General features: G+C 43.3%; 1 protein-coding gene across 3 annotated transcripts in view, besides 2 other annotated features; it reads right to left on the reverse strand.

Moving 5' to 3' along the window:
• The window catches only part of UBE2G2 (ubiquitin conjugating enzyme E2 G2), a 33,241-nt gene that overhangs the window by 7,539 nt on the left and 1,004 nt on the right, over positions 1 to 24,698 (reverse strand). For 2 of the 3 annotated variants that reach the window (NM_003343.6, NM_182688.3), the window contains 3 exons: positions 11,942 to 11,977; positions 11,802 to 11,847; positions 1,181 to 1,299 (listed from right to left, as the gene is read on the reverse strand). In NM_003343.6, the coding sequence (NP_003334.2) occupies positions 1,181 to 1,299; positions 11,802 to 11,847; positions 11,942 to 11,977 (201 nt within the window). The remainder of the gene's footprint in view (positions 1 to 1,180; positions 1,300 to 11,801; positions 11,848 to 11,941; positions 11,978 to 24,698) is intronic. The other variant, NM_001202489.2, reaches the window with a different exon arrangement.
• Positions 12,274 to 12,498: a silencer, noted in NCBI's record as "fragment chr21:46208307-46208531 (GRCh37/hg19 assembly coordinates)". NCBI's record gives its function as "represses an EF-1alpha promoter that drives an FKBP-Casp9 reporter gene in an ReSE screen in K562 erythroleukemia cells {active_cell/tissue: K562}" and the evidence as "EXISTENCE:reporter gene assay evidence [ECO:0000049][PMID:32094911]".
• Positions 17,090 to 17,179: an enhancer, noted in NCBI's record as "active region_18575". NCBI's record gives its function as "activates an Ori minimal core promoter by ATAC-STARR-seq in GM12878 lymphoblastoid cells {active_cell/tissue: GM12878}" and the evidence as "EXISTENCE:reporter gene assay evidence [ECO:0000049][PMID:35858748]".

The raw sequence follows: 24,698 nt of genomic DNA on the forward strand, positions 1-24,698 counted from the left end.
GGGGTGGGGGGGTAGTCCTGAAAACCCCTATGGCAAAGATGTAAAAGGAAGAATGTAAAAGGAAAAAATAAAAACTACAGCTGTTCAGAAATTCCAATTCCTACTACTGGACACATTTTCAAATAAGCTACAGTACAATTCACTTAAATGACCTTATTTTTTTCCTCCTTTTAAAATTAATATATATTAATTTTAGGGCAAAAAAAGATTTACAAAAAGGAAAAAAAATTTCAATCTGAAAAAAGAATCACTTTTAACATTTTTGTGCTTACTTTTCCAGTTATATATACATTTACATGTGAATTTCTTTTTCAAGAGGAAATTATAACAGTGCTACTGCTTTTCCCAGTCAATATAACACAAATACTACTTTGTATCATTGATTCTTCTTTTAGATCATTTAAAAAATCTACATCACATTCTAACATATATGATATAGTTTGGGTGTGTCCCCACCCAAATCTCATCTTGAATTGTAGCTCCCATAATTCCCACATGTCATGGGAGGGACCCAGTGGGAAGTACTGAATCATGGAGGCACATCTTTCCCGTGCTGTTCTCGTGATAGTGTACAAGTCTCACGAGATCTGATGGTTCCGTAAAGGGCAGTTCCCCTGCACACACTCTCTTGCCTGCCGCCACTAAGATGTGCCTTTGCTTCTCCTTTGCCTTCTGCCATGATTGTGAGGTCTCCCCAGCCATGTGGAACTGTGAGTCCATTAAATCTCTTTCCTTTATAAATTACCCAGACTTGAATATGTCTTTATTAGCAGCGTGACAACAGACTAATACAATATATAACTTAATTTATTCTTGTGTTAAAAACCCAGGTTAAGTCAAAATTTTCACCATTACAAATAACACTATGACAAAGATTAGCATAACCCCTTCTGAGCACACACCCATGTGTAAAACTTCCTCCCCAGTGAAGTAGGGTGGCTGGGTCAAATGGCATCCGGTTTTAGGTGCCTGTTGTCTTTTATCTATATTAAACTGACCTTCAAAATTGAAATCATGTGCTTAATACCACCATGCTTACTTGGCTGAATTTCAAAACATAAGAAGTGTTTTCTAAAGATCTACATCATAGACATATAGAATATACCACATTTCAGGTGGCTGATAATATTATCTCCGTACCTATCCTGGTACCACAAAAACTACTTCCAAAAGCACTTACTGTTGGGATGAAACATCTCACAGGTAAATCTCATCTTTGGGGGACTTAACGGGTAATCAAGTGGGAAACTCAGGATGGCAGGAAAAACACCAAACTCAAAGCAGGTGTCTTCTGGGCCCCTAGAAGATATAAAATACGTAGACTGAACTTCAAAGTACATTTTTCAACGTCGACCACAATTGACAAATGGGTTAAGAACATTTTTACCACTTTAAAAATGCACGTGAGGCCGGGTGCGGTGGCTCACGCCTGTAATCCCAGCACTTTGGAAGGCCGAGACAGGCAGATCATCTGAGGTCAGGAGTTCAAGACCAGCCTGGGCAACATGGTGAAACCCTGTCTCTACTAAAAATACAAAAATTGGCTGGGTGTGGTGGCGCATGACTGTAATCCCAGCTACTTGGGAGGCTGAGGCAGGAGAATCGTCTGAGCCTGGGAGGTGGAGGTTGCAGTGAGCCAAGATCTCGCCACCGCACTCAAGCCTGGGCGACAGAGCGTGACTCCGTCTCAAAAAATAAACAAAAATAAAAATAAATAATAAAAATGCACACAAAAAGATTATCTAAGTAACAATGAATTGGTACTTTCTTTTCAGTGGAAAGCAATGTCCCATTCTCCAGTTTCAATCTGGTCTAAATCTTAGGTACAAGTACAAAGACTGAATTCCAGGCAGTTTTCACATTTATGAAGGTTAAGAGTCAAGCAGCAGAACCTCTTGATAAGAAGGAGATCAGAGAAAAGAACTAATGTCAATGCTCTAAGATCTGGGAGTTTTTTCTGCAGATGTGGTACAATCACATTTTAGGATAAGGGTATGAATTACGGCACAGGGTATAGCAAGATTACATTGTATTTCAACAGATGTGGGGCTAAGAGTTGTATTTCAAAGGTGATTTTTAATTTTTAAACGTGCCCAAGAAGGCATCTTTGCAACCTTCAAGAAGCAGATGAAGAGCACATGTGATCACTGCTGCATGCTCGGTGAAAGGCTAGGCACACAGGCACCACCACTCCAGGCTGCACCTGCAGGCCCATGTGCTGTGCCTCATCCCACTGATGCAACATTGGAGCAACTCCCCGTCATGGGCACAGACACAGGCACTGAGTCTCCCTGGACCTATACTTTCCTCACGTGTAAATGGAAGAAATAGATGAAACCATTTCAGAAATCCTGCTTAAGGTTTAAAACCCAACAAGTATAAATTAACACTATCTTGACCAACAGTTCAAGGCATGATGGCCACAGGAGAGGAAGAGTGTCAGCCACTATGCCTGTACCTTCACACCAGGGACGAACTCCTCTTCTCCTACAAATCACATTAATAAAACACACATTGGAGGAGTTCTAAAAGATCTTGCACCATCTTTCTTTGATAAGGAAGCAGGACTGCTGAATGACAGCGGCAGACAACGAAACAGTGGAAGTTGCACTGGGTGTGACTCATCAGATCAATAAATAGGTCAGTAAACCCGTTCTCCGTCTACGAACTGAAAGAACAAGTCCCTTCCTAAACAGCTCTGCTCCTCTAACAACAAAGGCTAAGGCAGAAAGAACAGTCGTGCAGGGGCCGAGGCCTGGATGAGCAGAGGACAGTCCACACCAGACCTACTGCCTTCAGAAAGAATCCAGGATATGGCACAGGAAAAAAATAATTTAAAAAAATATACGTTTTAAATCTTCAGTTAAAAAATAGATTTCTTAAAAGTAAAAATTTGTTTTAAAAATCTTAAAATTATCTTGGTTCAGTGAAATTAATAACAACAGACTTGGAAATATTTATCTCTATAATTAAAGGAAAAAGACAAAAATCAAAAAGAAACTGAACGAAGAGCTTTAGCTTTCACCTGGAGGCGGCACTCAGGGCTGTCGGCAGCAACAGCAGATGCCAGCACGGCTCATGGCCCTAGCAGGGCTGATCTGCGGGCAACAGTCAGAAGAGAACAAAGCAGTGATTGCTTCATGGAGACAAGATTTTTCAATCTAAAAGACAAATTTTGATTCTGAAAACTGTCTTTGCTACCTTTTCAGAAGAAGATAGCGAATATGGCCACTTTGTTTTGGGGAGCTGGGGTGGGGGGGGGGTACTGTGTGACAGTCCCCAGAGCCTCAGCATGACCAGCACAGGGAACGCCACCGAGGGAGGCACGAGCATGAGCTCTTGCTACTGGTACAACAGCCGCGCTGGAGAGGACAGTGCCCGGATGAGTACCCCCCCCGGCCCACACTGGCACCCAGCGCCCGGCAGCCTGGGGACGCCTCAAGCCTGGGTTACTCTGCTCCCCCTGCAATGGCCTGAACAAACACATTCCTGAAGCCCCGCCTTCTCAACACAGGGTGGGCACACACCATGTATCAGAGTGAGGCGTGGCCACCCCGAGCCTCCTGTCCAGTACAAGAGCTCAGAGCAAACGATAACCACCACCCATTCATTCTCCACACGCCCTCTGATGAAAGGGCACCAAGGATTGTGGTTTTCATTTTACTGTCAAGCAAGGCTGGAAAATCCAAGGATGAAATGACTTAGTCAAGGTCCTAGATCAATTTAGTATTAGAGTTAAGAGAACACAGTTCAAACTGCGAAATCAGAAGTCAGGCACATAAAGATACTATCTTTAAAAGTAACACTGTTCATATGTCAGGAATGCTTGCCAGCACTCAATATTTCTGGCACCTCTGAGTCCAGAATAAGAAAAAATGTCTGGGTAGTGTTTTTGGAATGAGCCAAATGGTATTTGCTCAATACTTTGATAACAGTTCTTTGTTTCTCATAATAGGGCTTTCTTTAAAAAAAATTTTTTTTAATCCACCAGGTCGTTCCTAGCCTCAGAAGCATGACCAAACATTTCCTGAAGTGCGCCCACATCTTAAATATCAAAGTTATTTGCAAATGCTCCGGTTTACTACTGGTTTGAAACTGGGATTTCTTTCTCTTTTCTAGAACGCCTGGCGCCCAGACAGGAGGGCAGATGGGCAGTGGTGTGCAGCAGCATGCCTGACCCCATGGAACATGCCTTCCAGGCAACTCCCGAGCCAGGAGTGGGAGACGCCACAGTGCTGTTTTTGGACAAGTTTTATTGCCATACTCCCAGACAACCTCACTTCTCTTTCACCGAAGATGGCCTCACCTGGGAATCTTCAAAAGAAACAACAACAAGGAGGACACAAATATATCCAAAGCAAATGTAAATTTTTCAAAGCCTGCAAATTATGCTGCCTTATTGATTGAAATCATGACCTAAACTCTTTCGGAGCTGAGCTAAGGACAAGCATTAGATTAAGCATCATAATGACCCTGCACTCTACACAGGAGGCACGCTTGCAACAGCTCAGACTGTTTTGCTGTCTTGTGGGTGAATTAGATACAAAAGCAAATATTGAAAACACCCATGGCCTACTCCTGACTAGCAATTCTCCCTCCTCACAAAGGACAACTGCCTTGTCACTGTCCTCCTCCAGAGTTGTGACCATTCCTCAGCAACAGTGTGGGTCACTTATATGCCAGTGAAAAGCGAAGATCAGCCTCTTCTGTCTTTCCACACTCAACTCAAGGGAGAGATTGTTCTTCTTTGCATTGCCTTTCTAACACTTTTTACTTTCTAGATAAGAGAAGCAGCAGGCAGGTCAGAGTGCCTTATGGAGCACCCAGGGCAAGTGGGTGCCCTGAGCTTCGCCGGCAAGCGGTGTTCCAGGAACTGGTGCGCTCGCCACTTCAGCTGCACGCAGGTGTTGGGAAAGCCGACTGCTTTTGCTGCTGTTCTCTTTATCAAGTTTGTCACAGCACATAGACAAGAAGTCTCCAACGCACATGTGATAAAGAATTAAAATCACAGAGAATGCAAACTCATCCATCAGTATTTAAAACCTGAAGTGGATGACTAAGGGACGATGGCCCTCCAAAAGCTGGAGCCAGCTGAGCTGGAGACGGGAAGGGCAAACTGCTTCATGGGCACCCTCCACTCTGGGGGAAGGATAAGCACCTCCCTTACGCTACAGAATCGACAGAGGGCACCCAGCAGGAAGGGCATGAGGGCTCCCGGCATCTGAGCTTGGGTGCGTCTCCTTCCTTCAGTCCCTGCTCTGCAGTTCAGCAAAAGCTTCTTGCCGATGTTCCCACCCCACTAATGCCCAGGACAGCAGGACCAAGGTGGGCTGCACACACAGCCCCCACACTGGGCACTTTAAAAGCCCTAGGACACTGGCTCTGCTATGCCAGGTTGTGCTTGTGGCTGTGCCAGGCAGTGAGGAGTTAAATAGAAACTGATCCCAATACCCTCGTAGCAAGAGGACGAGGCTGTAAGAAGCCGTGATTTGGGGAAGTGCCTTCCTGCACTTTCCTCCAGCACTTGGTCTCCACCAGGATGACATATTTGACCCTCACCCCCAGAGCAGGGCCCTGGCTCTGGTTTAAACCCAGAGATCCCCTGTGTTTCCTTTCTGTTTTGTGGTGTTCTAAGCACCCCAGGCGATACTCAGGTAGATAACCAATGCTAAGAACTGCTCGGAAGAAAAGGGGGAACATTTCCATTTTATGAAATCATAGTAGGGGCAAATATAGCTTTTGCTCCATATAATTATTTTCATAGTTAAACCTGTCCAAAAGGCATCTACAGCCATACCCTAATTATTTTTTGCAATATAGATGTTTCTTAAAATTTTTAAATCTAATATATTTGAACTATAAAGTGTACTAAATAAGTTCATCAATTATAAGAACTTTATAGTATATTCTAACATAGACAATCACTTTTACAACATAAACTTTGACCTTATTTAACTAGGAAAATAAAAGAATGTTGGAAAATATTCAAATACAGAAGTATATAAAATAAAAAGCAAATACCTCCCTCACTCCCCCTCCCAAAATCACCTCCTTGAGGTAACCAGAGTTAAGTTTGGTTATTGTTCCAGCTTTTCTCTATGTGTGTATAAATTCACATACTCTAATCTACAAAACTGGATTTCTAAAAATTCAAATGTATCATGGCATTGCTGAGAATTTTAAAACACCTAAATAAATGGAGAGACAGTCCATGTTCATGGATTAGAGCACTCAGTACTGATATGATGGCAATATCCCTCAAACTTATCTAAAGATTCAATGTAGTCTCAATCAAAATCCCACCAGGCATTTTGTAGAAATTGACAAGCTGACCCTAAAATGTAATGGAAATGCAATGGCCTAGTAAACAATCTTGAAAAAGAACAAAGTTGGCGGACTTAAATTTCCCAATTTTAAAACTTACCATGAAGCTCCAGTAATCAAGACAGTGTAGTAATGGCCTAAGGATAGGCATAGATCAATGGAATGCAATTCAGAGTCCAAAAATAAATCCTTGCATTTATAGTCAACTGATTTTTGACAAAGGTGCCAAAATTATGCAATGGGGAAAGAACTGTCTTTTCAACAAATGGTGCTGAGACAACTGGATAACCACATACAAAAGAATGAAACAGACTCCCACCTAACTCCATACATGACACTAAGTCAATCAAAATAGATCAAAGGCCTAAATGTAAAAGTGAAAAAACACAAAACTTCTACAAGCAAACATAAGAGAAAATCTTTGCAACCTTGGGTTATATACAACACCAAAAGCATGCTCTATATAAGAAAAAAAATGCAAAATCACACTTCATCAAAATTAACAACTTTTTAGTTTCAAAAGACTCTATTAAGAAAACAAAATGGAGAGTTGCAGATTGGAAGAAAATATTTAAAAATCCTATGTCTAATGAAGGACTTGTATCAAAATATATTTTAAAAACTCTTAACGTTCCATCAACAAGAAAACAACCGAATATAAAAATGGGGAAAAGTTCTGAAGTTCACCAAAGAAGATACATGAACGGCCAATAAGCCCATTAAGAGATGCTCAACATCATTAGTCGTCAAGGAAATCCAAGTCAAATCTGTAAGGAGACCCCACTTTACACCCACAAGAACAGCTGTTATCAGACAACAGCAGTGTTGGTGTGGAAGTGGAGAAACTGGAATGCTCATACACTGCTGCTGGGAATGCAAAATGGTGAGCTACTCTAGGAAGATAGTCTGATAGTTTCTTAAAACATTAAACGCAAATTTACTCCACACCCCAGCAATTCCACACCTCTATATCTGGTCTAGAGAAATGAACTCCATGTCCACACAGACAGTGTGACAAGACAAGTGTTTACAGCAGCATTGCTCAAAAGAGCCAAAAAGTAGGAAGCCCAAATGTCCATCAACTGGGGAATGGAAAAGGAAGGAGCTGCTGATACATGGTATAACATGGATGAACTGCAAATACATTCTGCCAAGTACAAGAAGCCAGGCACAGATGATTAGACAGTGTATGATTCCACACATAGGAAAAGTCAGAAAAGGCAAATCTATAGTCAGAGGAAAGAGCAGGGATTGCCTGGGGGTTGGAATGGGAACTGTCTGCACATAGACATAAGAATCTTTTTGGAAATGTTCTAAAACTGGACTGTGGTGATGACTACAAAACTCTAGAAATTTACTAAAACCACTAACTTTTATACTTAATGCAAGTAAAACTTACAGTATGTAAATTATCTCAATAAAGCTGTTTAGGCTGGGTGCCTTGGATCCTGCCTGTAATCCCAGCACTTTGGGAGGCTGAGGCAGAAGGATTGCTTGAGGCCAGGAGTTCGAGACCAGCCTGGGAAACAGAGCAAGACCCCATCTCTACAAAGCATTTTAAAAACTAGCTGGGCGTGGTGGTGTGCACCTGTGGTCCCAGCTACTTGTGGGGCTGAGGTGGGAGGATTGTTTGAGCCTGGGAGTTTGAGGCTGCAGTGAGCTGTGACCAGGCCACTGAACTTCAGCCTGGGTGACAGAGCTAGACCATGTCTCCATAAGAAAGGGAGGGGAGGGGAGGGGAGGGAAGAAAGGAGGGGAGAAAGGAAGAGAGAGAGGAGGGAGGAGAGGAGAGGAAGGAAGGACGGACAGACGGTTCCAGACCTATTATTCTAGAATCCGCCTTTTCCATTTATATTGTGTACATCTTTCCATGCCAGGATGAAAATTCCACCTGAACTGTTTTACAGCTACATGGCATTACTCTATATAGATGCTCCATAAATTATGTGGAACAGTGATGTTTCCTTTTTTATTATTATTACTGCAATGAATGTGGCAATAACTTCTTCATATAGGGATCTTTGTGACACTTTTGTTGAAGAAAATGCTATGGTGAGATTACATACAATACAAATTATAAACACCTATTTTATTATCTCGGGTTTATTTCAGCAAGGCATAATACTGCCAAGAGATGCCCTGTGACAGTCTTCAGTCAACAAGAAACCTGGACATAAAGGGAGGCTGCTGTGCCCCGGACACTGGCCCCCAGTGTGAGAAGGGCTCCTGGTAGAAGCCGCGGCAGCCTGGGAGCCCTCAAGCTGGCTGCCATGAGCCAGCTGGAGAACCTGGGAGCATCCATCCACCAACTGGGCCCCAAACACACCATTCAGTAAAGGAAGGTCCTTCTTATTTCACCACAGCCTCTAGAACCACTGGTCTGGGGAGGTGACAGCAGTCAGGCATGAACCAGACAAGAAGGTCACCAAGCCAGCTGATTTGGGAATGCTGGGGCAGGACACAGAGGACAGCAAGCGCCAAGGGACTCCACGCCTTGTCCGGCCACTGGGGATGAACAGCTGTCTAGGACTCCTTCTGTCCCACATAAGTGCATCAATGAAAGAGGGCACCCACCCTCTCTGCAGCTACACCCCCGTCACCGTGGCTTAGTGGCAATGGGGTCACGGGCCATGGACCCTAGAGCTGGGCAAGACCTGTAACCATCTGTCTAGAAGATGCTGATAAACCTCTCTGTTTTGATCCAAATAAGTCAAAGAGAGGCAAAGTGACTGGGCCAAGAGCAGCAGGCCATGCTAGCACCCACAGCCACGGTGGCCACATCCCCTGGTGTGCCGCCATCCCAGCCACGCTCGATTTGATTGCAGGCTCAGACTCCACCATGAGCGTGGCAGGGTCAGCAGAGTTATTCCCGGTGTTTAAAGACACAGCCTGCGGACTCTCATTATTTAGTCCTCTCATTCACTAATCTGTTCTATTCTCCATCCTAATCCCTCAACCCTGGTCTTCCAAGGTAAAGATTTCAGTGCATCTTTGACATGTCTGTATCTTCAGACAAGGGCCCTAACATATCAAAGGCACTTAGTGTTTGTTGCTTAGATATCTAAAATGACATTTTCTTCACTGGCCCTTAAGGCAAGCACAACAGCAAAAACCAACAGCCGTTCGACTTCTGTGAGGCAAGCACGGGTTTTAGAAATACTAGGGTAGAGAGGCGGCCCTGGAAGCCATCAAAGAATAAAGAGAAAAAGAAGAAACTTATCACCAAGGAGCAAAGACTTGGCCAGATGTCTGCCAAAATAGCAGGGTGAGACAAATCGATGGGAGGACAGTTAATTCCCTAATAGGCATTTTAAGTGCACTTGTAAACGGCCTCTTGTTTGTGAAGGGTCTGGAACAGGACCAAAACCCACAAACTCACTAGGATCTTCAAGCAGGGGAATTCCAAACTAATGCAAAAAGCCTTGTTCAAACACAGAAGTGCTCTACCTAAAAATAGTTCTAATTACTTTTTAAGACAGGTTTTCAAAATATTGGTTTAATTTTACACTGTTTATTTAAAATTGGTAATAGTTACCCTAATCGATTTTTAACAATGAACATTTTTTTAAAACCACACTGGACGGCTCAACTGTTCCTTTAATGAGCTTCCAAATAGGCCTACGGAGGAGCCAACACCCCACAAATAACTGCAGACACGACAGGCGCCTTCAACCTCTACACACAGACAGGCCTCCCGCCACTCTGGGCCCCTGCAGCAGGCGTGCTGCCCCGCTGGCATGAGTGCAGGTGCGCCTGCATTAACACATGAAACAAGCAGGTTACACATCAGTTCATGTATATGATCTCCTGCTTCTACAGAAATAAAAAGAGCTGCCCCGATACAAGTATACAGCCGCACAGTCCACTAATGAGGACAGCCCAGACTGTGGGACTCGCCATCCATCTCATAACTGCCTTGGGGGCCACATTACACACAAACACAGATTCCAGAAACCTTCAGACACCGAAAAAACATGTGCCATAGGCCCAAGCAATTAGGATATTACAAATGATCAGGAAATGGCAGGCGTGCTGTACCATCTGAATAGCGTTTGATGATTTTTTAAAAACATTTTGTTTATCCAAAATACTAATTTTCATATCAATTTAACCTCCACAGACAACACTTAGCTGCAATCTGTTTCTCAGACCAACCCATAGAGCATTAAGAATTAATGTGATCCAAGCAACTGGCGAATTCCAAAAGCATCATGAAGCTTAAGATCACTTCAAGCCAGAGCCCACACTTGTTTCACAGCCCTCACTTTTCCGGTCCTTGCCCTCTAGAGCACTTCTCAATGCAACAAAATCCAACCCAAGACCTTGCTGCAAATTAAAAGACCTCACTAATGAGATAACAAAGACTGGGCTTGGCGCGGTGGCTCACACCTGTTATCCCAGCACTCTGGGAGGCCAAGGCAGGCGGAACACCTGAGGTCAGAAGTTCGAGACCAGCCTGGCCAACATGGGGAAACCCTGTCTCTACTAAAAATACAAAAATTAGCCAGGCACGGTGGTGGGTACCTGTAATCCCAGCTACTAGGGAGGCTGAGGCAGGAGAATCGCTTGAACCCAAGGGGCAGGAGTTGCAGTGAGCCAAGGTTGTGCCACCGCACTCCAGCCTGGGCAACAAGGGCGAAACTCCATCTCAAAAAAAAAAAAGAAAGAAAGAAAAAGAAAAGAAAGAAAACAGAGACTGATTACAAATTTCAACTTCCTAAATTTTATTTAACCTCACTTTGCTGAAAATACACTAAGAATGGCCAAAAATTGCACATCTAAGGTAGAAAGAAGAAAAAGCAAAGTGAGTCAAGGCCATAGAACACTCTAAAATCAGGGGTCCATGTGTTTCTCTTTCCAAGCAACGTCACCCTAAGTTAAATGCCACGAATCCCAGAACCACACTGCTCACTTACTAAGCCATGTCTTGGGTCGGAAAGAACACAAGGCCAACAAGTCCAGACAAGGCAACAGAAAAAGGAGATGCAGCACACGAAGATACGAACTGGGAGGAAAGGAGAAGAAAAAGAAGTCCTGGCCCAAAGGCAGGGCAGGCAAGGCTGCGCTAACATGCCTGGTGTGGTCAGACACATCTTTGAGGACCCTTTTCTCGTCAAAATTTCACACCTGAAGGGGCTACTTCTGGAAGCCAAAGCCACCTACGCCATTTGAGGTTATTTTAACCACGATCATACAACATTCCAAAATTACCACCTTAAAACTCTCAAATATATAATACATATATTACATAATTATAACTAAACCTTTGACTGGCTCTAAGGAAACACTCATTTCTTTTGGATCAATGCTCAGGTTCTCTGCTTTCAGACCAGCAGCCTAGACGAGAGCTGGGCATTACTGGAGAACTCAGTCTTTTTTCCAGCTGATGCTTTTGGACACAGTCACACTGCTGATGTGATTCTTACATCTGACTTCCAGCAAAGCCCTAAAAACTAGTACACCTAAAATTAACTTACATGATCAATGCCTCCCATTCAAAAAAGTTCTCTTCATTCATGGGGCCTGTAGGGTGAGAAAAAATTTCACAACATTTTAACTTTGAAGGAACTTTGGCAATTAAAAGTAAATTATAAGGAAGTTAACTTTGGTACCTTACCTGCTACAATTCCTTCCGGAGGATTCAGTGTTAATTCTATAAAATTAATAAGTAAAACCATTACCAAACAGAATAAATGTTACATTGTCATTTTAACAAAACACCTTTACAAAATATATAAGCCTATAAACCATAGAATATGCATATTAACAAGTGAAAATTCTGTTTGCCCAAAGTGAATACCTAGTACAATAACGGTTCTGATAACAACTACACAAAGTTTTTTTGTTTTTTTTTTGTTTTTTTTTGAGACGGAGTCTCACTCTATCACCCAGGCTGAAGTGCAGTGGTGTGATCTCAGCTCACTGCAAGCTCCACCTCCCAGGTTCATGCCATTCACCTGCCTCAGCCTCCCAAGTAGCTGGGACTACAGGCGCCCACCACCACGCCCAGCTAATTTTTTGTATTTTTAGTAGAGACGGGGTTTCACCGTGTTAGCCAGGATGGTCTAGATCTCCTGACCTCGTGATCCGCCAGCCTCGGCCTCCCAAAGTGCTGGGATTACAGGCATGAGCCACCGCGCCGGCCCAAATAGTTCTTTATACCAACAAAACATAGACTTTTCTTTTTCTTTTTCTTTTTACAAATGCAAAAGCAAACATAAGGGGTACACTGTCTTTCCAAACTGTTCCTGCTGGTTACTTTGTTGCTTAGTTTTGAGACAGGGTCTCACTCTGGTTGCCCAGGCTGGAGTCCAGTGGGCAACCAGAGTGAGACTGGGGAAATTAATAAAACAGTAAGCAAACATACAGAAAAAAAAAAATCAATGAAACCAAAAGGTGGTTCTTTGAAGAGACAGAAAATTAATAAATCCTTGCCAAATAAATATAAGGTATAAGGACTGAAAAAGAAATAAAACTCATTATTCACAGATGCTATGTCCATATATACAGGAAAGCCCAAAAGAATCTAAAGATAATTAGTAAAAGTGAGTTTGGCACAGTTGCTGAATATGAGGCATATATATATCTTTCTAAAAGATATATAAAAATGCAAACAATCCAGAATAGCCAAGACACTATCTTTAAAAAGAATAAACAGAGGGCCAGGCGCGGTGGCTCACGCCTGTAATCCCAGCACTTTGGGAGGCCGAGGCGGGTGGATCACCTCAGGTCAGGAGTTCGAGACCAGCCTGGCCAACATGGCGAAATCCCATCTCTACCAAAAATAGAAAAATTAGCCGGGCATGGTGGCATGCACCTGTAGTCCCAGCTACTTGGGAGGCTGAGGCAGGAGGATCACTTGAACCCAGGAGGCGGAGGTTGCAGTGAGCCGAGATCGCGCCACTGCACTCCAGCCTGGGTGACAGAGCAAGACTCTGTCTCAAAAAAAAAAAAAAAAAAAAAGAATAAACAGAAAGCTTCATCTATGAGTTACCAAGCCTTCCTTACAGAGCTATGGAAATTAAGGCAACGTAGCACTGGCTCAAAGTTAAATTGAACAATGGGGCACAAGAGAAAGCCCAGAAGCATACCTGTACCAACAGAGACCCTGACTCGAGGGAACACAGAGCTATGGCCCAGAGGCAAAGGGCAGTCTTTTCCATGAATGATGCTCATCTCTAAGACAAAAAAAAATCAAACTTTCCCCATCTCACACCACATATAAAAATCAAAATAGGTAAGAAGAAAAATGGAGGCAGAGTTGAAAAGAGCCACTGTCAGAGTCAACACGAATGATGCTGTGGTCCAAACGCTTGCGTCCCCCCAAAATTCCTATGTTGAATCCTAATGTATGTGGTATTGGGAGGTGGGACCTTTGGGAGGAGATTAGGTCAGGAGGGCAGAACTCTCATGAATGGAGTTAGTGCCTTTATAAGAAGAAACGAGAGATTTGCCTCTGGCCATGTAAGGGCACAAGGAGAAGACAGTCATCTGCAAACCAGGAAGACAGCCCTCACCAGACTTCCCAGCCTCCAGAATTGGGAGCAATAAATGTTTGTTGTTTAAGCTCCCTGGTCTTTGGTATTTTTTTACAGCAGCCTGAACTGACTAAAACAGATGGCTAATAAGCACATGAGAAAATGCTCAACATTGTGAATCATAAGGGTAATGCAAATTAAAACCACAATAAGATACAGCTCAATAGCTTCAGCATTATCAGTATCTTTAGTCACAAAAGAATGGCCAAAATTAAAGACTTAAAGTGCTGGCAAGTTTAGCAAGTAGATCTCTCATGCACCACTGATGGGAATGCAAAATGGTTTGGTTACCCTTTGGGAAAGAAGTTTGACCATTTCCACTAAAATTACATATATATTGACTCTAAGACCCAGCAATTCTACTGGGTCTTATGTTGCCATAGACTTTTGTGTGAATGTTCATAGTAGCTAAATTCGTAATAGCCCCAAACTGGAAACAACCCAAATGTCCATTGATATGGTTTGGCTTTGTGTCCCCACACAAATTTCATCTTGAATTGTAATCTCCAGGTGTTGAGGGAGGAACCTAGTGGAAGGTGACTGGATCATGGGGGCAATTTCCTCCATGCTGTTCTCATGACAGTGAGTTCTCATGAGATCTGGTGGTTTTATAAGTGTTCGAAAGTTCCTCCTTCACTCTTCTTTCTTGCCACCTTGTGAAGAAGGTGCTTGCTTCCCCTTCGGCTTCTGTCATGATAAGTTTCCTGAGGCCTCCCTAGCCATGTGGAACTGTGAGTCAATTAAACCTCTTTCCTTTATAAATTATCCAGTCTCAGGGAAGTTCTTATAGGAGTGTGAAAACAGATGAATACAGTAAATTGGTACCAGGGGTACTGCTATAAAGATAACCTGAAAATGTGGAAGCAACTTCAGAACTGGGTAGTAGGCAGAGGTTGGAACAGTTTGAAGGGCTTAGAAGAAGGAAGATGTGGGAAAGTCTGGAACTTCCTAGAGACTTGCTGAATGCTTTTGACCAAAATGCTGATAGTGACATGGACAATGAAGCCCAGGCTGAGGTGGTCTGAAAAAGAGAAGAGGAACTTCTTGGGAACTGGAGCAATGGTCACCCTTGCTATGTTTCAACAAAGAGAATGGTGAGATTTTGCCCCTGCCCTAGAGATCTGTGGAACTTTGAACTTGAGAGAGATGATCTGAAATTGGAACTCGTGTTTAAAAGAAAGCAGGGAATAAAAGTTTGAAAACTTCGCAGCATGACGGTGCAATAAAAAAGAAAAACCCATTTTCTGGAGAGAAATTCAAATAAGTAACAAGGAGCCAAATATTAATCGCCAAGACAATGGGGTAAATGTCTCCAGAGCATGTCAGAGATCTTGGCAGCAGCCCCTCCCATCACAAGCAGGGAGGCCTAGGAGGGAAAAATGGTTTTGTGGGCCAGGCCCAGCCCCGCTGCTACTCTGTGCAGCCTTGGTACTTGGTGCCCTGTGTCCCAGCTGTTCCAGCTCCAGCCATGGCTAAAAAGGGCCAAGGTACAGCTCAGGCTGTTGCTTCAGAGAGTACAAACCCCAAGCCTTGGCAGCTTCCACGTGGTGTTGGGCCTGTGGGTGCAAAGAATTCAATAACTGACGTTTGGGAACCTTCACCTACATTTCAGAGGATGTAGGGAAACGCCTGGATGTCCAGACAGAAATCTGCTGCAGGGGCAGGGCCCTCATGGAGAACATCTGCTAGGGCATTGCAGAAGGGAAATGTGGGGTTGGAGCTCCCAGAGTCCCCACTGGGGCACTGCCTAGTGGAGCTGTGAGAAGAGAACAACCATCCTCCAGACCCCAGAACGGTAGATCCACCAAGAGCTTTGCACTGTGCACCTAGAAAAGCCAAAGACACTCAATGCCCACCATGAAAGTAGCTGAAGGGGGTGGGTGTGGGAGGGCTGTACCCTACAAAGCCACAGGGGCAGAGCTGCCCAAGACCATGAAAGCCACTCCCTGTATCAGTGTGCCCTGGATGTGAGACACGGGGTCACAAAGGAGACCATTTTGAGCTTTAAGATTTAATGACTGCCCAGCCGGATTTCGGACTTGCATGGGGGCCTGTAGCCCTTTGTTTTGGCCAATTTCTTCCATTGGTAATGGGAGTATTTATCCAATGCCTGTATTTCCATTGTATCTTGAAAGTAACTAACTTGCTTTTGATTTTACAGGCTGCTAGGCAGAGGGGACTTACCTTGTCAGAGATGAGACTTTGGACTTGGACTTTTGAGTTAATGACGAAATGAGTTAAGACTTTGGGGGCCTTGCTGGGAAGGCATGATTTGTTTTGAAATGGAATGGTTTTGAAAGGAACATGAGATTTGGGAGGGGTAGGGGGAGAAATGACATGGTTTGGCTTTGTGTCCCTACCCGAATCTCACCTTGACTTGTAATCCCCAAAGTGTTGAGCGAGGAACCTGGTAGGAGGTGACTGGATCATGGGGGCAGTTTCCCTCATGCTGTTCTCGTGATAGCGAGTTCTCAGGAGACATGATGGTTCTATAAGTGTGTGGCAAGTTCTTCCTTGGCTTGCTCTTCTCTCTCCTACCGCCTTGAGAAGAGGTCTGTTTCCCTTTCTGCCATGACTATAAGTTTCCTGAGGCCTCGTCAGTTATGCAGAACTGTGAGTCAACTAAACCTCTTTCCTTTATAATTACCCAGTCTCAGGTAGTATCTTTATGGCAGTATAAGAACGGACTAATGTACCGATTAACCGTTTAATGAACCCACAACCTTGGGTAGAACAAGGCCTACCCAAGGAAAAATTATTTCACTCAAAATACCACTAACACCTGCTGAGAAGCCCTGATCCAGGAAACAGAGGTCCTGAAGAGACCTAAGTGCTGTCACAAGGGTGTGCTGACACCCAGCAGTGAGAGAAGGCAGAGTGGCAAGGAGGGGCCAGCAAGGCAGGCCAAAGGCAAGTGCTGGCCCCAAGGGCCAAGTGCATTAAACATTTCAGGGGTGGGTGGGAACTGAATGTGAATGAGGTCAAGTACCAAGCCGACTAAGACCTTGGATTTCACAAGCCACACCCTGATGTTCTCCCTTTGTGTCTCTTCATGTGGAGTAGATCAGGAGAAATAACCACAGAACCTAATTTGCTAGGCTTCCTACACCCAGTCATCTAAAATCTAGTCCCATTCTTGTGTCTCAAGCCAAACCGCCTAATTATAAGAAAAAAATAACAGATTACGGCAGATAGACTGTAAACTGCTAAGCAGGTGGGGTGCGGGAGAAACACAATGTCAGTGGGCAACTAAGTAGAGGCCTGGCAGCAGAACACACAAAAGCTTTACAAATCACCTTCGTGGGACCATGAAGAAGAGCTCGTACCAAAGAGAGCTGGCTTTATTCTTCATCTGGAGTTCCCCTTTGGCACTCCCCTGCGTGACACCCTCCCTTAGGGAGGGGAAAGGGTGGTCTAAAAACTGCAGCTCCAGACCTGCTCCTGGCAATGCAGGCTCAGCACAGAGACCTGCCCGGGTGTGCGCTGGCCTTCCCGCCAGCTTTGTTATTCAACAGTGGCCTCTACTGGTCAATAAAGAAGTGCAGCAAATGAGTTCAGAGGCTGGAGGGAATGGTTCAGGGCACTTATTTTTTCCATTTTGTTTTTTGCTTCCAAAGCATATACACGCGTACACAAAATAATATACAGTTTCATGTTTACTGATAAGAAACAAGTTCAAAAAAAGAGACGAATCTTGGTATCAGGGAAATTTTCAGAGGCCATTCCTTGCCACTTAAAATAGTGGCTTAACAAATAGCTACCACACAAAGTGAAATATAACCTTTGACCCAGCAATTCCATTTCTAGGAATCCATCCCACAGATAACATTGGTGAAGATAAAAAATGTATACACAGGCTATTCATTTCAGGACTATTTGTAAAAACAAAAAGAAATTAAAAAGAACTTGAGTGTCTATCAACAGAGGACCAGTCAAATTATGATACATATACCAGTGGGGTACTTTGCAGCTATAAATACCTCTACATGCTAGTACAGAACAAACTTCAGGACATATTACATGAAAAAAAAGAAGGTGGAGAAAAGTGTGTGACTAGGGCCTTTAAGAGGTAATTAAAATTAATGTGGTCATTAGGGTGGACCTTAATCCAATCTGACTAATATCCTTTTAAGAAGAGATGAGGACACAGGCATAGAGGACAGAGCCTCAGAAGAAACCAGCCCTGCCCTATCCTTGATCTTGGACTTCCAGCCTCCAGGACTATGAGGAAATACATTTCTGTTGTTTAAGCCGTGCCCAGCCTGTGTGGTAGAGCAGCCCTAGCAAACACAGTGCTGAAACAACTGCACTGCCATTTACAAATAATTTACAAATAAACCTTGGCCTTTATCTCATACCATATGGAAAACTTTGATATGGATCCCAAACCTAAATACAAGAGCTGAAACTATAAAACATCTAGAAGAAATCATAGGAGAAAATCCTACTGCCACCTGATGTTTGGCAGTTATTTCTTAAATATAACACAATAGCAAGAAATATTTTAAAAGTCAATAATTGAATTTCATCGAAATAATAAAAACCCTTCTTTTTTTGTTTTTTTTTTTTTTTGAGACGGAGTCTCGCTCTGTCACCCAGGCTGGAGTGCAGTGGCGTGATCTCGGCTCACTGCAAGCTCCACCTCCCAAGTTCACGCCATTCTCCTGCCTCAGCCTCCTGAGTAGCTGGGACTACAGGGGTCCGCCACCATGCCCAGCTAATTTTTTGTATTTTTAGTAGAGAGGGGGTTTCACCGTGTTAGCCCGGATGGTCTCCATCTCCTGACCTCGTGATCCGCCCACCTCAGCCCACAAAGTGCTGGGATTACAGGCGTGAGCCACTGCGCCCAGCCAAAGAACTAAAACTTAAGAAAATCAACACAATTTTGAAAGAAGCAAAGACTCAAGTCACTTTATCTAAAAAGACATATGGATGGCAAATAAACACGTGAAATGATGCTCAACATCACGAGTCTTATGGAAATGCAAATGAAAACCTCAGTAAGGGCCGGGGGCTGTGGCTCATGCCCGTAAATCCCAGCACTTTGGGAGGCGAGGCAAACTCCTGAGGTCAGGAGTTAGAGACCAGCCTAGCCAACATAGTGAAATCCCGTTTCTACTAAAAATACAAAAATTAGCCAGGTGTGGTGGCACGCGCCTATAGCCCCAGCTACTTGGGAAGCTGAGGCAGGAGAATTACTTGAAGCCAGGAGGCAGATGTTGCAGTGAGCTGAGATCATGCCACTGCACTCCAGCCTGGATGACAGAGAGAGCACCTCAAAAATAAAAAATAAAAAAAAATAAATAAATAAAACAAAACCTCAGTAAGACTGCTATACACCCAATAGAATGGCTAAAATTTTTAAAACTGGAAGGGCGCAGTGGCTCGCAGTTGTAATTCCAACACTTTGGAAGGCCAAGACGGGCAGATTGCTTGGGCCCACGAGTTCGAGACAAGCCTGGGCAACATGGCGAAACCCTATCTCTACTAAAAATACAAAAATTAGCTAAGCGAGGTGGCATGCAACTGTAATCCCAGCTTCTTGGGAGGCTGAGGTGGCAGGATTGCTTGAGCCTAGGAGGCAGAGGCTGCCATGAGCCATGACTACACCACTGCACTCTAGCCCGAGTGACAGAGTGAGAACCTGTCTCAAAAAAAAAAAGAAAGAAAGAAAGAAAAAAGAAAACAAAAAACAACTGGCCACGCGAAGTGTCAGCAAGGAGGTGGGGCAACGGGAACACTTAATACACTGCTAGGGAAATGTGAACTAGAGGAAAACTGGCCGTTTCTTTAAAAATTAAACACACACTTCCCATTATAACCCTGGTTATTTACACAGGAGAAATAAAAGCATATATCCACAGAAAGACATGTACATTTAGGACATGCACACAGGGGGAAGATGGCCATGCGAAGATGGAGGCAGAGATTAGAATTACACTACCTCAAGCAAGAGAATGACAATAAACGCCAAGGATGACCAACAATCACCATTAGCTGGAAGAGGCAAGTAAGGGTTCTCCCCTCGAGCCCTCAAGAGGAAGAATGACCCCATCAACACCTTTATTTTAGATGTCTGGCCTCCAGAACAGTAAAAGAATAAATTTCTGTTGTGCTAAGCCCCCCATGGGCAGCCCACTTCTACCTGGGTCTATCTCTGACACTCCTAGGAAAGGCTGGATGATGAATGAAGACAGAACATCAAGACAAGACAGCAGTTTACAACAATTGAGTTCTTTCCTGGCTCTCCTTTTTTCCTGTTTATGAACCTAGGCAAAATCATCTTGTCTGTTGCTCAATTCCATAAAATCTGTAAAATTAGGGGGCTTGAACAGAATCATAGCCAAGGTCCCACCACCTCTGAATTTCTGCAGTTATATGACTACTCCCAAATACAATAAAGTGTGCATGAACATCTAACCAAATTTATCTAAACCCCTTCTATGTAGAGATTGATTCTGTCAAGTCCACCTTTACACTGGAATGTGCTACCTTAAAATACGTTATGAGGACAAACTAGATGTTAAGATACACACACAAAAAAAACCAGTAAATGATACACAAAAAAAACCCACTAAATTTTATCACATTATTAAGATACAGGAAAAACAAAGTCCCCTCAATAACACACTGTATTCATCTTCTGTCACTGCTGTAACAAATTACCACAAATTTAGTGATTTAAAACAATACTCATTGATGATCTCAGAGTTTCCAAGCGTCAGAAGTCTGGACACAGCATGGGCCAGCTAGTTCTCTGCTCAGAGTCTCACCAGGGCTGCCACTCCAAGTTCATTGAGGTTGCTGACAGAATTCACTTCCACGGGTCTGTTGGTCTGGGATCATTCTCAGCTTCTTGAGGCTGCCCGCCTTCCTTAGGTCATGGCTCCTTCTTCCATCTTCACAGCCAGCCACAGAAGGTAGAGATCTTGTCATATGTTGAATCTCTCTGACCACCCCCATCCTGCCTTCACTGACTGCTTTTGAGCCTTATGTTATTATTGGATCCTTCACGGTAATCCAGAATAATCTCCCACTCTTTAGGTCTGCTGATTACTAACCTGACTTGCATCTCCAAAGTCCCTCCACCGAAGTACTAGAAAGTGCTTGAATAACAAGGGCATGGGAATCTTAGTGAGGTATGTTTAGAGTTCTACCTTCTACACATAGTCCAAAATTTCATGTTAACATGTAAAAACACACAACACACTTCCGTGACAAACCTTCGGAAATCAACCATTATTTAGGTCTTATTACTGCAAACTAATTGACAATATAATTGAAATAACAGATGAAGCTTCTGTCAGGACAATAAAAGGGAGAACATATCTTTGCTAATGCAAATATCCTTAGAAAATGCAAGTTCAACAATGCAAAGACTGGCCTGAAGCAGCAGCCTGAACTTAATTTCCTATGCAGGGGTTTAATGATTTTCTTCTCAATAAAAATGAGAAGGCCGGGCGTGGTGGCTCACGCCTGTAATCCCAGCACTTTGGGAGGCCGAGGCTGGCGGATCACGAGGTCAGGAGATCGAGACCATCCTGGCTAACACGGTGAAACCCCGTCTCTACTAACAATACAAAAATTAGCCGGGCATGGTGGCGCGCGCCTGTAGTCCCAGCTACACGGGAGGCTGAGGCAGGAGAATGGCATGAACCCGGGAGGCGGAGCCTGCAGTGAGTCAAGATTGCGCCACTGCACTCCAGCCTGGGCGACAGAGCAAAACTCCGTCTCAAAAAAAAAAAAAAAAAAAAAAAAAAAGAGAAAATACCTGCTCACAGTCTAGCCTAACCCTAGAAATAGGGCTAAAATAAAACTAAAACAGAGACACAAACACAAACCAGGATACCAAGAAATGGTAGGTGTTCACACATCTGACCCACCAGCCAGGTTTCCCATGAGGACACAGAAGTAATAGTCCCCCACATCCAACCCTCTGTTCGAGTATGAACATTGTCAGAATCAAAATGGAGTCACTTTCGCCAAACCCTGACAACATAGAGGGAGGTCAAGATGAAGACAGAAAAATCAGCCAGGTGTAGGGGCACATGCCTGTAGTCTCAGCTACTCAGGTGGATTAAGTGAAAGGATAGCTTGAGCCCAGGTCAAGGCTTGCAATGAGCTGTGGTTGTGCCACTGCACTCCAACCTGGGTGACAGAGCAAGACCCTGTCTCAAAAAATAAATAAATAAATAATTATTATTTGCCAAAATATGCTTAATTTTTATTGCTAAAAAATGCTAACAATCATATGAGCCTTCAGCAGGTCATAATCTTTTTGCCGGTGCAGTCTTGCCCGGATATTGATGACTGCTGACTGATCAGGGTGGTAGTTGCTGAAGGCAGGAGTGGCTGTGGTAGTTTCTGAAAATAAGACAACAATTAAGTTTGCCACAGGGACTGACTCTTACTTTCACAAAAGATTGCTCTGTAGTCTGTGATGTTGTTTGACAGCACTTTACCCACAGTGGAACTTCAGTCAAAACTGGAGTCAATACCCTCAAACCCTGCGGCTGCTTTATCAACTAAATTTATGGAATAGTCTCAATCTTTTGTCATTTCAACAATGTTCACAGCATTTTCACCAGGAGTAGATTCCATCTCAAGAATCACTTCTTTGCTCATCTGTAAGACTCAACTCCCCATCTGTTCAAGTTTGATCATGAGATTGTAGCAACTGAGTGACATCTTCAGGCTCCACCTCTAATTCCAGTTCCCTTGCCATTTCTACCACACCTGCAGTTGCTTCCTCCCCTTAAAGTCATCCATGAGCATTGAAATCAACTTTTTCAAACGCCTGTTGTTGATATGGTGACCTCCCATGAATCACAGATGTTCTTAATGCCATCTAGAATGATAAATCCTTTCCAGAAGACTTTTGATTTTCTTTGCCCAGATCCATCAAAGAAATCACTTTTCATGGCAGCTATGGCCTTATGAAATGTATTTCTTAAATAAGTCAAAAGTGCTCCCGGATCCATGGGCTGCAGAATTGGTGTTGTGTTAGCAGGCACAAAAACATTTATCTCCTTATACCTCTCCATCAGAGCTCTTGAGTGACCAGGTGCACTGTCAGGAATAGTATTTTGAAGATAATCTTTTTTTCTGAGCAGTAGGTCTCAACAGTGGGCTTATATTCAGTAAACCATGCTGTACACAGATGTGCTGTCATCCAGGTTGTTTTTCCATCTCTAGAGCTCAGAGTAGATTTAGCATAATTTTTAAGGGCCCTAAGATTTTCTGAATGATAAATGAGAACTGGCTTCAACTCAGTCAACTTAAAGTGACCGACATTAGCCCCTAACAAGAGTCGCCCTGTCCTTTGAAGCCAGTCATTGACTTCTCTCTAGCTGTTTACGTTGTATATGGCATCATCTCCTCCCAATACCGTATAAGGCTATTTTACGTACCTTGTAAATCTATTGCTTAATTTAGGAGCCACTTTCATCTTGATCTTAGCTAGATCTTCTGGAGACCTTGCTGCTTCACCTTGTGCTTTTCTGTTATGGAGACAGGTTATTTACTTCAATCTCATGAACCAACCTCTGTTAGCTCCCAATTTTTCTTCTGCAGCTTCCTCACTGCTCTCAGCCTTCATAAAACTGAAGAGTTAGGACCTTGCTCTGGATTAGGCTTTGGCTTAAAGGAATGTTATGGCTGGTTTGATCTTCTATCCAAACCACTAAAACTTTCTCCATATCAGCAGTAAGGCTTTTTCACTTTATCATTCATTGTGTTCAACAGAGCAGCACTTCTAATTTCCTTTAAGAACTTTTCCTTTGCATTCACAACTTGGCTAACAAGAGACCCAGCTTTCAGCCTATCTTGACTTTCAACATTCCTTCCTCACTAAACTTAATCATTTCTAGCTTTTGATTTGAAGTGGGTAGAGTGCAACTCTTCACTTCAACACTTGAGCCCACTGTACAGTTACTATTGGCCTAATTTCAATGTTGTTTTGTCTCAGGGAAGAGAGAGGCCGGGAGAGAGATGGGGAAACAGCCAGTCAGTGAAGCACACACAACATTTATTAGGACTACCATCTTTTATGGGCATAGTTTGTGATGCCCCAAAATAATTACAATAGTAACATCAAAGATTACTGATCATAGATCACAGTAATAGATTAAAATGTAAGAGAGAGACACGAAGCGAGCAAAAATGGTGCCAACAGACTTGCTTCCATGCAGGGTTGCTTGTAAAAAACTTGTAAACTTGTAAAAAATGCAAGATCTGCGAAGTGAAGCTCAATAAAGCAAAGCGCGCGGGAAACTGAGGTGTGCCTTTATGTTCTGCTTTAGCAGACACTAGGTGGCGAGCGTTATTTGAACGTTTACAGGAGGCCCTGTGTATCTGCGGCTGCATATCCATGGATTCGACCAACCAGGAATACAAAATATTTGAAAAAAATAACAATAAAAAATGACGATTTAAAAATACAAGTAAAAAAAATCAGTGTAACTATTTGTGCAGCACTTACATTGCATTAGGTACTATAAGTAACCTTGAGATGATTTAAAAGTTATGAGAGGCTATGCATACATTAAATGCAAATACCACGCCACCTTATAGTAGGGACTTGAGCATCCGAGGATTCTGGTATCTGCAGCGGGGCCTGGAACCAATCCCCTCCAGATACCAAGGGAAGAATGACCATACGTGAGTGAGCCTGTATTTGCAACGTTTTGGTCTGCTTAAGCCAAACATCAACTCTTACTGGGCGGTGTCACCAATAGTTTTACGAAATCAAGCTACATGTATATTCACCACTTATTTTTTTTCTCACATTCATTCTTTTAGCTTAACTTTCTTCCAAAATTATCCTCAATCTAATTA

This window comes from Homo sapiens, chromosome 21 (genome assembly GCF_000001405.40).
Source record: "Homo sapiens chromosome 21, GRCh38.p14 Primary Assembly".
Taxonomy (NCBI): Eukaryota; Metazoa; Chordata; class Mammalia; order Primates; family Hominidae; genus Homo; species Homo sapiens.